This window comes from Homo sapiens, chromosome 16 (genome assembly GCF_000001405.40).
Source record: "Homo sapiens chromosome 16, GRCh38.p14 Primary Assembly".
In the NCBI taxonomy this organism is placed as follows: Eukaryota; Metazoa; Chordata; class Mammalia; order Primates; family Hominidae; genus Homo; species Homo sapiens.
Window position 1 is genome coordinate 33,590,280 of NC_000016.10, and position 13,057 is coordinate 33,603,336.

The 13,057-nt window shown below is 49.1% G+C and overlaps 1 pseudogene, besides 1 other annotated feature; it reads left to right on the plus strand.

Moving 5' to 3' along the window:
• Positions 1–13,057, plus strand: part of LOC102724181 (rhophilin-2-like) — a 55,052-nt pseudogene that overhangs the window by 18,482 nt on the left and 23,513 nt on the right.
• Positions 11,694–11,894: a silencer, noted in NCBI's record as "peak2571 fragment used in MPRA reporter construct". NCBI's record gives its function as "represses an SCP1 promoter by STARR-seq MPRAs in K562 erythroleukemia cells {active_cell/tissue: K562}" and the evidence as "EXISTENCE:reporter gene assay evidence [ECO:0000049][PMID:32103011]".

Genomic DNA, 13,057 nt, shown 5'->3' on the forward strand with positions numbered 1-13,057 from the left:
CAAGATTGCACCACTGAACTCCAGCCTGGGCGACAGAGTGAGAGTCTGTATCAAAAAACAAAAAACAAAAAACAAAAAACACCAAAAACCTAAAAAAAAAGTACTTTGGAGATGCTGCACCCCTTCTCTGAGTGTCGTTAGGAGTGTCAGTGAAAGGAGAATACATCCTAGAAGGTGGGGGCGTATCAGAATTGAATGTTTCTGTAGCCAATGGTTGGCTACTGATGCCTTCTTCATGGAAAGCAAAGGAAAGGGGGATGACTTTTCCTAACAATGCACCAGGCTGTCTGCATGGTGAAAGGTGGTTTCTCCTTAGTCATGAATTAGGGAGAAGCTGTCTGCACACCCCTTGGTTCATGAGTAAACTTTAAAACAAGTCCTAGGGCCAGGTGCGGTGGCTCACACCTGTAATCCTAGCACTTTGGGAGGCCGAGGTGGGTGGATCACCTGAGGTTGGGAGTTCGAGACCAGCCTGACCAACATGTCTCTACTAAAAATACAAAAATTAGCTGGGTGTGGTGGCGGGCACCTGTAATCCCAGCTACTCAGGAGGCTGAGGCAGGACCATTGCTTGAACCCCGGAAGCAGAAGCTGCAGTGAGCCGAGATGGCGCCACTGCACTCCAGCCTGGGTGAAAGAGCAAAACTTTGTCTCAAAAAATAAAAATAAATAAATAAATAAAACAAGTCCTAGGCTGGGTGTGGTGGTTCACATCTGGAATCCCAGCATGTTGGGAGGCCAAGGTGGGTGGATCACTTGAGCCCAGGAGTTTGAGACCAGTCTAGGCAACACAGTGAGACCCCATCTCTACAAAACAATTAGAGAAAATGTGCCAGGCATGGGGGGCACATGCCTGTAGTCCCATCTACTTGGGAGGCTCAGATGAGAGGATCACTTAAGCCCAGGAGGTTGAGGCTGCAGTGAGTCATGATCATGCCACTGCACTCCAGCCTAGGCAACAGAGTGAGACTTGGTCTGAAAAAATAAAAAAGTAAAACAAATCCTGAGGTTTTAGATTTCAGAAAGAATTATGAGGGGTTAGTAATTGCCATATTTCATTTAGGAGAAGCCATACACACACACACACACACACACACACACTTTTTTTTTTTTTGAGACGGAGTCTCACTCTGTCACCCAGGCTGGATTGTGGTGGTGTGATCTCAGCTCACTTCAACCTCTGCCTCCCAGTATCAAACCATCTTCCCACCTTAGCCTCCCAAGTAGCTGGGCTTAAAGGCACATGCCACCACCATGTATTTTTGATAGAGAGGGGTTTCACTATGTTGCCCAGGCTGGTCTCAAACTCCTGAGCTCAAGCCAGCCACCTGCCTTGGCCTCTAAAATGCTGGGATTACAGGTGTAAGCCACTGCACCCGGCCTTTTTTTTTTTTTTTTTTTTTTGAGACAGATTCTCGCTCTGTTGCCCAGGCTGGAGGGCAGTGGCGTGATCTCGGCTCACTGCAACCTCCGCCTCCTGGGTTCAAGTGATTCTTCTGCCTCAGCTTTCTGAGTAGCTGGGATTACAGGTGTGCCCCACCACGCCTGGCTAATTTTTGTATTTTTAGTAGAGATGGGGTTTCACCACGTTGGCCAGGCTGGTCTCAGTCCCTGGCCTTGTGATCTGCCTGCCTTGGGCTCCCAAAGTGCTGGGATTACAGGTGTAAGCCATCGCACCCAGCGCATTTTTTTTTTTTTAATAATTGAGGAATTTACCTGACACATCATTATCACCCAGAGTCCATAGTTCCCATTAGGGTTCATTCTTGCACTTGTGTATTCTGCGGCTTTTGACCAACATAGAGTGACAGTGATCCATCTTTGCAGTGTCGTACAGAAGAGTTTCCCTGCTGGAAAAATCCTCCGTGTGCTCTGCCTGTTCCTCCCTCCCTCCCCCTAAGTCCTGGCAACCCCTGATCTTTCTTCTGTCTCCAGGGTTTTTGGCTTTTCAGAATGTTGGACTCACACAGCGTGCTATACGGTAGGTAGCAATGTTCAGGTTGGCTCTTGGTAATGTTTCTTCTGCATCTTTTCAAGGCTTGCTTGAAAAGGCTCCATTTTTAGTACTGAGTAATAGTCCATTGTCTGGATGTCCCATGCTGTGTTTATAAAGTTACCCCATCAGATATTTTTGTGTGTGGCTGTGGTGGTCAGTGTGATTAGTCCTGTCATCTTGCTTGGAAACAAAAGCCTCAGTGCATGTGCATTCTTGAATTTTATTGAAGAAATGAGTTTGTTGTTGTTGTTATTGTTGCCCAGGCTGGAGCACAGTGGCACAATCTTGGCTCACTGTAACCTCCGCCTCTCGGGTTCCAGCAGTTCTCCCGCCTCAGCCTCCTGAGTAGCTGGGATTACAGGTGCCCGCTACCATGCCTGGCTAATTTTTGTATTTTTAGTGGAGACTGGGTTTCACCATGTTGGCCAGGCTGGTCTCGAACTCCTGACCTCAGGTGATCCACCCACCTTGGCCTCCCAAAGTGCTGGGATTACAGGTGTGAGCCACTGCACCCAGCCAACCCAGGAGTTTAACAGCAGTTTGGGTAACATAGTGAGACCCCATCTCTACAAAAATTAAAAAAAAAAAATTAGGCAGGTATGGTGGCATGCACCTGTAATCCCAGCTTTCTCATGAGGCTGAGGTGGGAGGATCAATTGAGCCCTAAAGTTGGAGGCTGCAGTAAGCTATGATCACACCACTGCACTCCAGCCTGGGCAACAGAGTGAGATCCTGACTCTTAAAAAAATAATAATAGAGCCAGGCACAGTGGCTCACGCCTGTAATCCCAGCACTTTGGGAGGCTGAGGTGGGCGGATCACGAGGTCAGGAGATCGAGACCATCCTGGCTAAAACGGTGAAACCCTGTCTCTACTAAAAATACAAAAAAATTAGCTGGGCGTGGTGGCGGGTGCCTGTAGTCCCAGCTACTTGGGAAGCTGAGGCAGGAGAATGGCATGAACCTGGGAGGCAGAGCTTGCAGTGAGCTGAGATCGCTCCACTGGACTCCAGCCTGGGTGACAGAGTGAGACTGTATCTCAAAAATAAATAAATAAAATAATAATAATAATAATAATAATAATAATTTTTCCACTTGCATCCAAAAGTAGCATTAACTAGCCAAGTAATCTGTATTCCCTAAATGCATTTCTTTCACATAGGTATGACTCCCTCACTGGGGTTCTGGTCAGCCAGCAGAACCTGCTGCTGGAGAAGGCCAGTGTCCTGTTCAACACTGGGGTCCTCTACACCCAGATTGGGACCCGGCGCTATCGGCACACGCAGGCTGGGCTGCAGAGTGCCATAGATGCCTTTCAGAGAGCTGCAGGTATGTCTCCTCCAGGGCTAACTGGACAGAGCCTTGGCCCCGCCTGGAGGCACCAGGTGACCCCCCCACTGAAGAGGGTCTACAGGTCGTCCCCTGCAAGGGCCAGAGCAATCTTCAGCTCTGGTGTAACTTCCCATTAAGAAACTTGCTCCAGCCGGGCGCAGTGGCTCATGCCTGTAATCCCAGCACTTTGGGAGGCCGAGGCAGGTGGATCACGAAGGTCAGGAGATCGAGACCATCCTGGCTAACATGGTGAAACCCCATCTCTACTAAAAATACATAAAATTAGCTGGGCCTGGTGGCAGGCACCTGTATTCCCAGCTACTTGGGAGGCTGAGGCAGGAGAATGGCATGAACCCGGGAGGCGGAGCTTGCAGTGAGCGGATATTGCGCCACTGCACTCCAGCCTGGGTGACAGAGTCAGACTCCGTCTCAAAAAAAAAAAAGAAACTTGCTCGGTGGTTCAGACCTCAGTCTGGGATGGCTTGATGTACATGGTGAATCCTGTGGCTGATGATTGATCTTTTCCAGACAAGTGGCCCTGGGATGGCAGTGCATAACTGTTTCTTTCAACACTGTCATGAAGAGCAGAATAACTTTTCCCAAATAGTGAAACCGTAGGCTTCTTTTTCTTGTATTAGGTGTACCCTATCTGTGCGTATTACTCTCCGTGCCTTTATTTATTTATTTATTTATTTATGAGATGGATTTTCGCCCTTGTCGCCCAGGCTGGAGTGCAGTGGCGCAATGTTGGCTCACTGCTTGAAACCTCCCGGTTTCAGGTGATTCTCCTGCCTCAGCCTCCTGAGTAGCTGGGATTACAGGCACCCGCCGCCACGCCCGGCTAATTTTTGTATTTTTAGTAGAGATGGGGTCTCACCATCCTGGCCAGGCTGGTCTCGAATTCCTGACCTCAGGTGTTCTGCCTGCCTCAGCCTCCCAAAATGCTGGGATTACAGGCACCCGCCACCACGCCCGGCTAATTTTTGTATTTTTAGTAGAGATGGGGTCTCACCATCCTGGCCAGGCTGGTCTCGAATTCCTGACCTCAGGTGTTCCGCCTGCCTCAGCCTCCCAAAATGCTGGGATTACAGGGTGAGCCACCACACCCTGCCCCTCCATGCCTTTATGTCACCTGCATTCTGCCAGCTTCTCCAGCATGAGGTGGGTGTTCTCAACCCTTTGTCAAGTGATGCATTCAAAGGATGTCTCATAGCTCAGTTCCCTTCTTCTGGGAACTGTCTTTTGTTGTTTTATTTTATTTTATTTATTTGTTTATTTTGAGATAGAGTCTTGCTCTTGTCACCCAGCCTGGAGTGCAGTGGCACAATCTCTGCTCACTACGACCTCTGCCTGCTGGGTTCAAGCAACTCTTCTGCCTCAGCCTCCCAAGTAGCTGGGATTACAGGCGCCTGCCACCATGCCCGGCTAATTTTTGTATTTTTAGTAGAGATGAGGTTTTGCCCTGTTGGCCAGGCTGGTCTCAAACTCCTGACCTCAGGTAATCCTAGTATGAGAACAAGGTGCGGGGTCGAGGAGAAAAGCAGCCTAGTGCTTACACCTGTAGAGGACCGGGGTCACCAGACCCAGTGCTGTGGGTGAGCCTGGCATGGCTCACCCTTGCCTGCGGGTTCTGCCTTGCTCCCCCATAGCAGGGCCTGTGTCTGGGTCAGACTCCGCATGGGGATGGATGCAAGAGCAGGGCACAGTGTAGACCACAGTGTGTTCTCCACACTAGCTCTATAGTGTGTTGCCTTCTAGGTTGATCATCGACATTCTGCTTTGGGGTGTGATCCCCTTCCACCCGTGTGGATCATTGTTTGATATCACTTTGCCCTGCAAGCTTGTGAAGAACCAGAGCTTTGCCACTTCAACTCATTGTGAAATTTGTGATGTTACAATGATTGGTCCTAACAGCCTGGGCCACACAGGAAGACCCTGTCTCTACAGAATATTTAAAATTAGCCAAGCGTGGTGGTGTACACCCATAGTTCCAGCTACTCCAGAGGCTAAGACGGGAGGATCAATTAAGCCCAGGAGTTTGAGGCTGCAGTGAGCTAGGATTGCCAAAAAGAATTTTTTTTAATTAAAGAAATAGGCCAGGCATGGTGGCTCATGCCTGTAATCCCAGCACTTTAGGAGGCTGAGGTGGGTGGATTGCTGGAGCTCAGGAATTTGAGATCAGCCTGGGCAACAAGGCAAAATTCCATCTCTACAAAAAGTACAAAAATTAGCTGGGCCTGGTGGTGCATGCCTGTAGTCTCAGCTACTTGGGAGGCTGAGATGGAAGGATCACCCAAGGTTGTGGTAAGCCAAGATCGTGCCATTGCACTCCAGCCTGGGCGACAGAGCAAGAACCTGTCTCAAAAAATAATTAATTAATTAAAAAAATGAAAGATTGTTCTCTTAGGATGAAGTGATATGCTAAGATTCCAAGTATGAGTTGATTTCTTTTGTTGTAAATCTTTTTTCTGGACTCATCTTTCTGGGGAATCTTAGGCAGGCACTCTGTGTCCTGTCTCTGAGATTATAGCAATGGAGACAAATTATAGATGAAATGAAGCAAGTGGGAGAACAGTGGGGAGTGTGAGGGAACCCCCACGGAGCTCACAGCTCAAAACAGCAGGTGCCATCCCTCCGCAGGGCGGGGATTTTTTTTTTTTTTTTTTTTTTTGCTCAGCAACAAAACCAGAGGACCCAGTTGGCTGGGATTCATATGAGAGACTCTATTTCAGTTCCAGATTGATTGTCAGTTAGCGCTTTGGACAGTTAATTTTCTAAACTATAAAGAAGTCAGTGGAAGGCTGCAGCATGAAAATTTCCATTGGAGCAGACGGATTGAGTTTTTTTTTTTTTTTTTTTTTTTTGAGACGGAATCTCACTCTATCACCCAGGTTGGAGTGCAGTGGTGAGATCTCGGCTCATTGCAGCCTCCGCTTCCCGGGTTCAAGTGATTCTCCTACCTCAGCCTCCTGAGTAGCTGGGATTATAGGTGTGTACCATCATGCCTGGCTAATTTTTATAATTTTAGTAGAGGCAGGGTTTTGTCATGTTGGCCAGGCTGGTCTCGAACCTGACCTCAGGTGAACCACCCGCCTTGGCCTCCCAAAGTGCTGGGATTAGAGGCATGAGCCACCGTGCCTGGCCAGAACAGATCTTTCTTGAGGTCCAGGGGAAAAGCCCTGGACTGCTGAATGACTCAGATCTTATGTGTGAGCCTGGCCCCCTGTGAGCCCCTCAGTCCTTGTGCCTGCTCTCTGCTTGCATCTCCATACCTGTCATGATGGAATTTTGTCCCAGGTGACACAGGAGTTGTGGGGAGCAGGCTGGTTTCTCTACTCAATAGAGATGTAAGTGTTTTGGAAGATAATCCAATTTTTAAAAATTGGGTTAAAAGGCTAGGTGGGGTGGCTCACACCTGTTACCCCAGCACTTTGGGTGGCCGAGGCAGGCAGATCACCTGAGGTCAGGAGTTCAAGACCAGTCTGGCCAACATGGTGAAACCCCATCTGTGGTAAAAATACAAAAATTAGCTGGGTGTGGTGGTGAGCACCTGTAATCCCTGCTACTTGGGGGGCTGAGGCAGGGGGATCGCTTGAACCTGGGAGGCAGAGGTTTCAGTGAGCTGAAATCATGCCACTGCACTCCAGCCTGGGCATTTATTTATAAATAAATAAATAAATAGTGTTAAAATATACATATATAACCTAAAATGTACTATTTTAACCAGTTTTTTTATTACAGTAAAATAATACAACATAAAATTACCATTTTAATGATTATCTTAAATTTTTAAAATTTTAAAATTATCCTGCCAACCAGAAGCACATTTTAACCATTTTGAAGTGTGTAGTTCAATGGCATTAAGTGCATTTGTACATTCATAGTGTTGTGCAGCCATTACCACTAAACATCTCCAGAAGTTAAAAATATTTTTTGTTGGTTAGGCAAGGTGGCTCACACCTGTAATCTCAGCAGTTTGGGAGGCTGAGTCAGGAGGATCACTTGAATCCAAGAATTGGAGACCAGTCTGGGCAACATAGGCACACCCCATCTGTACAAAAAATTTTAAAATTAGCTGGGTGTGGGGTAGTGCATGTCTGTAGTCCCAGCTCTTCAGGAGACTGAGGTGGGAGGACTGCTTGAGCCCAGGAGTTTAAGGCTGCAGTGCGTCATGATCATGCCACTGCACTCCAGTCTGGGCAACAGAGTGTGATCTTGTCTCAAAAATAAATAAAATAAATACATTTTTAAAAAGTATATATTTTTTAAGAGACAGGGGTCTCAGTATGTTGCCCAGGCTGGTCTTGAACTCTTAATATCAAGCAACCCTCCCACCTCAGCCTCCCTCGTAGCTGGGATTACAGGCAGCAGCCCCTGTGCCCAGCTATCTCCAGAACTTTTTCATCTGGATGATGGATAAGCAAAGCTCTGTACTCAGTTAAGCAATAACTTCCCATTGCCCCCTTTCCCAGCCCCAGCTAACCTCTGTTCTCCTTTCTGTTTCTGTGAATTTGACTATTCTGGGTACCTTATCTAAATGGAATCCTACAATATTGGTCCTTTTGTGACTGGCTTGTTTCACTTAGCATAATGCCCTTATTTACACTGTACCATGTGTCAGAATTTCATTCCTTTTTAAGGCTGAAAAATACTCCATTGTATGGATAGGCCACATTGTGTTTAATCATTCATCTGCTCACGGATGTCTGGGTGGTTTCCACTTTTCAGCTCTTGTAAATAATGTTGCTATTAACACGGGTGTTCAAGTATCACTTAAGCCCCCACTTTCAATTGTTTGGGGATATATATCATAGGAGTGGAATTGCTGGACCATATAATTGAGAATCAAACTTTTTAATATGTTGTAGGACACCGGTTCTTTTTTTTTCCTCCTATCTTTCCTTTTTTTTTTTTTTTTTTTTTTGAGACGGAGTCTTGCTCTGTCACCCAGGCTGGAGTGCAGTGGTGAGATCTCAGCTCACTGCAACCTCTGCCTCCTGGGCTCAAGCAATCCTCCTGCCTCAGCCTCCAGAGGAGCTGAGACTATAGGTGCACGCCATCACACCCAGCTAATTTTTGTATTTTTTGTAGAGACAGGGTTTCACCATGTTGCCCACGCTGGTCTTAAATTCCTGACGCAAGTGATCTGCTCACTTTGACCTCCCAATGTGTTGGGATTATGGGCATGAGCCACCACACCTGGCCTCCTATCTTTCTCTACAGCAACGTGATGAAGTAAATATAAACCCGAACTAATGGGCAAAACATTTTCCACTTTTAGGGGTTTTAAACTACCTGAAAGAGACATTTACCCATAATCCAAGTTACGATATGATCCCTGCCATGCTCAGCGTGCTTGTCAAAATGATGCTTGCACAAACCCAAGAAAGCGTGTTTGAGAAAATCAGCCTTCCTGGGATCTGGAATGAATTCTTCATGCTGGTGAAGGTGGCTCAGGAGGCTGCCAAGGTAAGACTCCCTGGTTCCTGTGACTTTGGGGGGTGGGCAGGAAATGCTGGCACAGGAGCACTGGAAGTAATGGGGCCTTCCCACAGGAGCTTGCCTGTGACCTGGGCATTGTGCCAGCTCCGGCCAGTACTGCTGGCTTGAGTTTTCTTGGCAAGTGTTGGTGTTTCAGATACGGATCACTGATTCCATCTGCAGCTTAACCTAAAAACCAGCATAATGACAGCAGCCTGATCCCCCTGTTAACTGTGACAATGACAGAACGGGGGGTTGCTTGGAGTTGCTCCCAGATTCTGGAGCAGCCCCTGGCAGGGGCTGTTGCATGAGAAGAAGAAAGGGCTCTTTCTCTGCAAATGGGTTCATGAGGGCCCTTGTGCCGGGCTGCCCCTTCCCAATGCCCCTTCTATTTCAGGTGGGAGAGGTCTGCCGACAGCTGCACGCAGCCATGAGCCAGGTGCTGGTGAAAGAGAACATCCCCTACTCCTGGGCCAGCTTGGCCTGCGTGAAGGCCCACCACTATGCGGCCCTGGCCCACTACTTCACTGCCATCCTCCTCATCGACCACCAGGGTAAGGCCTGTGGGGTTCGGGGGTTTGGCCAGGGCTGTGGTCCAGCTGCCCCAGGGGCGATTCTGAGCTGAGTGAGAGCTAACTGCCTTCCCTGGAGATGCTCACAGGCTGAAGGCAGAGGATGAGAATGACCCATGACTGAGGCAGCTGCTGCACAGGCCATGGTGGGGTTAGGGGTTATAAGCTTCTTTAGAGGGAGGAAGAGGAGGCACCTTTAATTCTGCCTGTGTGCAAGAGGATGAATTTTCACCTGGAATCTAGAATCTAAGGGAATGCCAAAAATGCTGGCATCAAGATAAGTAACATTTTAAGGTAATATTTTAAAAGAATCAAAATTAATGCAGGCCGGGTACAGTGGCTCAAGCCTATAATCCCAGCACTTTGGAAGGCCAAAGCAGGCAGATCATTTGAGGTCAGGAGTTTGAGACCAGCCTGGCCAACATGGTGAAACCCTGTCTCTACTGAAAATACAAAAATTAGCCGGGCATGGCGCGTGCCTCTAATCCCAGCTACTCCGGTGACTGAGGCAGGAGAATGGCTTGGGCCGGGGAGGTGGAGGTTGCAGTGAGCCGAGATTGTGCCACCACACTCCAGCCTGGGCAGCAGAGCAAGACTCCATCTCAAAAAAACTAATAATAATAAAATAAAAATTAATGCAAAAAAAATCTGTGATGATCGGAATTTAATTTAATTTTATTTTATTTTATTTTATTTATTTTTAGAGATGGGGCTGGAGTGCAGTGGTATGATCATGGCTCACTGCCTTCTTGAACTCCTGGGCTCAAGCAATCCTCCCACTTCAGCCTCCTGAATACCTGGGACTACAGGCACATGCCACTACACCAGTTAATTGAAAAAAATTTTTTTCGTAGAGATGGAGTCTCACTATGTTGCCTAGGTTGGTTTCAAATTCCTGGCCTCAAGCAATTGTCCTGCCTTGGCCTCCCCAAAGTGTTGGGATTACAGGCATGAGCCATGGTGCCTGGCCAGGGATTTTTGATCTAATAAGTACTAATCCAGGCAGCCTCCCGAGGAATTAAAAAGACAGCCTCTGGAGCCAGACTTCCTGGGTTCATATCTCAGCTCTGCCATGAATGAGCTGTATTACCTTGGGCAAGTTACTTAGCTGTCCTCTGCCTCGATTTTCTCATCTGTAAAATGGGTATATGGAGAGAATCTACCTCACAGGCTGTCATGAAAATGAAGGGCCTGTATGCAAAGCTCAATAATGCTTTATATGCTGTAGGTTCTCTGAAAGTGTGAGCCACCACTCCTAGTACTATATAGTCTATTAGGCGAGACAAGATGTTGAAACAAATAGAAATACCATATAGTGCCTTGGTGATTGCTGCAGAGACACAAATGCAGCAGCAGGTGGACTCCATGGTGCAGTCATTGATGGCTTCTCAGAGGCGGTGACATTTGAGTTCAACTTTTCCATCTGCACAGGAGGGAAGGGTCAGCCTAGAGGGAGTAAAGTGTCTGAGCACAGGAACAGAGGCCGAGGGTGCTGGGGAAGTGGAGAGTGGTTTTGTGAGGTTTGAGAGCAGGATATGCACCAGGGAGGGTGTGGTTGAAGCAGGAAGGGGCTCTGCTGCAGGTGTGCAGGACTGCAGAGGGGTGCAGGCCAGGCATGACAGGGTCTGGGCTGTGCTAGGAGGTTCTGTGTGGTGGGTGAGTCAGAGGAGGTAGTGTGTGGGGGCTCAGGGTCAAATTATGAACCTCACCAGGTGTGGTGGTTCACGCCTACAATCCCAGCACTTTGGGAGGCCGAGATGGGTGGATCATGAGGTCAGGAGTTTGAGACCAGCCTGGCCAAGATGCTGAAACCCCGTCTCTACTAAAAATAGAAAAATTAGCTGGGCATGGTGACACATGCCTGTAATCCCAGCTACTCGGGAGGCTGAGGCAGGAGAATCACTTGAACCCGGGAGGTGGAGGTTGCAGTGAGCCAAGATCACACCACTGCACCCAAGCCTGGGCGACAGAGCGAAACTCCATCTCAAAAAAAAAAAAAAAATTCTGAACCTCTGAACCTCTGGAGCATGACTGGTTCCAGTGAGCAAGAGCTTCGGGGTAGCCAGGCATGGTGGCTCACACATTTGATCCCAGCACTTTGGGAGGCTAAGGCAGGAGGATCGTTTGAACCCAGGGGTTTGAGACCAGCATGGGCAATGTAGCAAGAACTTATCTTTACAAAAAAATTTAAAAATTAGCCTGGCGTGTGGTGGTGCATGTCTGTAGTCCTAACTACTCAGGAGGCTGAGGTGGGAGGATCACTTGAGCCCAGGAGTTCAAGGCTGCAGTGAAATATGATTGTGCCATTGCACTCCAGCCTGGTGACAGAGTGAGACCGTCTCAAAGAAAAAAAAAGCTTGAGGGTCAGACTGCCTGGGGTGTGTCCAGGGGCAGAAAGGAGAGCCATGATCCCAAATGCCTTGTGAAACTGCAGAAGAAAGGAAACTAGAGACATGGTAGAAAGAGAAATCTCTATGTGGGTCTGTGGCCAGGTCCATGAGAGGGGATTTAACCTGTGGTTCTCTTTGCAGTGAAGCCAGGCACGGATCTGGACCACCAGAAGTGCCTGTCCCAGCTCTACGACCACATGCCAGAGGGGCTGACACCCTTGGCCACACTGAAGAATGATCAGCAGCGCCAACAGCTGGGTGCATGTCCCTCTGCACCCAGATGTGGGTCCCACTTGGTGACCAGCTGGTCCTGCTCACAGACAGCCACAGAGAGGTCCCTGAAGAGGGCCCGGGAGAGGGGGGTGTTCCAAGTCATCGTGGCCACTTTGGGTTCGGAAGTCATGAGGCACAGTCCTGAGCCTCAGAGGGCTTCCCAGGCTGTGTTCTCATGGGTTCCATAGCACCCAGGCCTCCCCCTGTGGAGCCAGGACTTTAACCATCTCCCTTGGGGTCCACAGGGTGGCCTGTATCATGCTAACAGGGAAGGAGACGTTTGTTGATTTCCTTATGCATGGCTGAATTCCCAAGAACACCTAATGACTGGTAATGAAGTGTCCTGGTTTGGTCTCTGCCATGTCTCAGTGTGAATATCTCTTCCCATGTGCAGACCTCACCTCCACCACCCTAATCTGCCCCCACGCACACATACGCAGCTTCCCCGTCTCAGTGATGGCAACTCCCACCCCTCTAGGTGCTCAGGCCAGAAACCTTGGACTCACTCTCCAGTCTTCTTTTCTTTCCTCCTCTTTCCCCTCCCCTCCCCTCTGCTCCCCTCTCCTCTCTTCCCCTCTGCTCCCCTCCCCTCCTCTCCCGTTCTCTCCCCTCCTCTTCCCTCCCCTCCTCTTCCCTCCCCTCTGTTACCCTCCCCTCCTCTCCCATTCTCTCCCCTCCTCTTCCCTCCCCTCTGTTACCCTCCCCTCCCCTCCTCTCCCCTTCTCTCCCCTCCTCTCTTCTCCCCTCCCCTCCTCTCTCTGCCGTCCTCCCTCTCCTCTCTCCTCCGTCCTCCCTCCCCTCCCCTCCTCCCTCTCCTCTCTTCCCCTCCTCCCTCTCCTCCCCTCCCTTCCCTTTCTCCCCTCCCCTCCCTTCCCATCCTTCCTCTCCTCTCCTCCCCTCTCCCACCTCCCCTTCACTCCCCTTTCTCCTCCTCTCCCCTCCCCTCTCCTCTCATCCTTCCTCCTCTCCCTTCACCCTTCCCCTCTCCCCTCTCCCCTCCCCTCTCCTCTCCTTT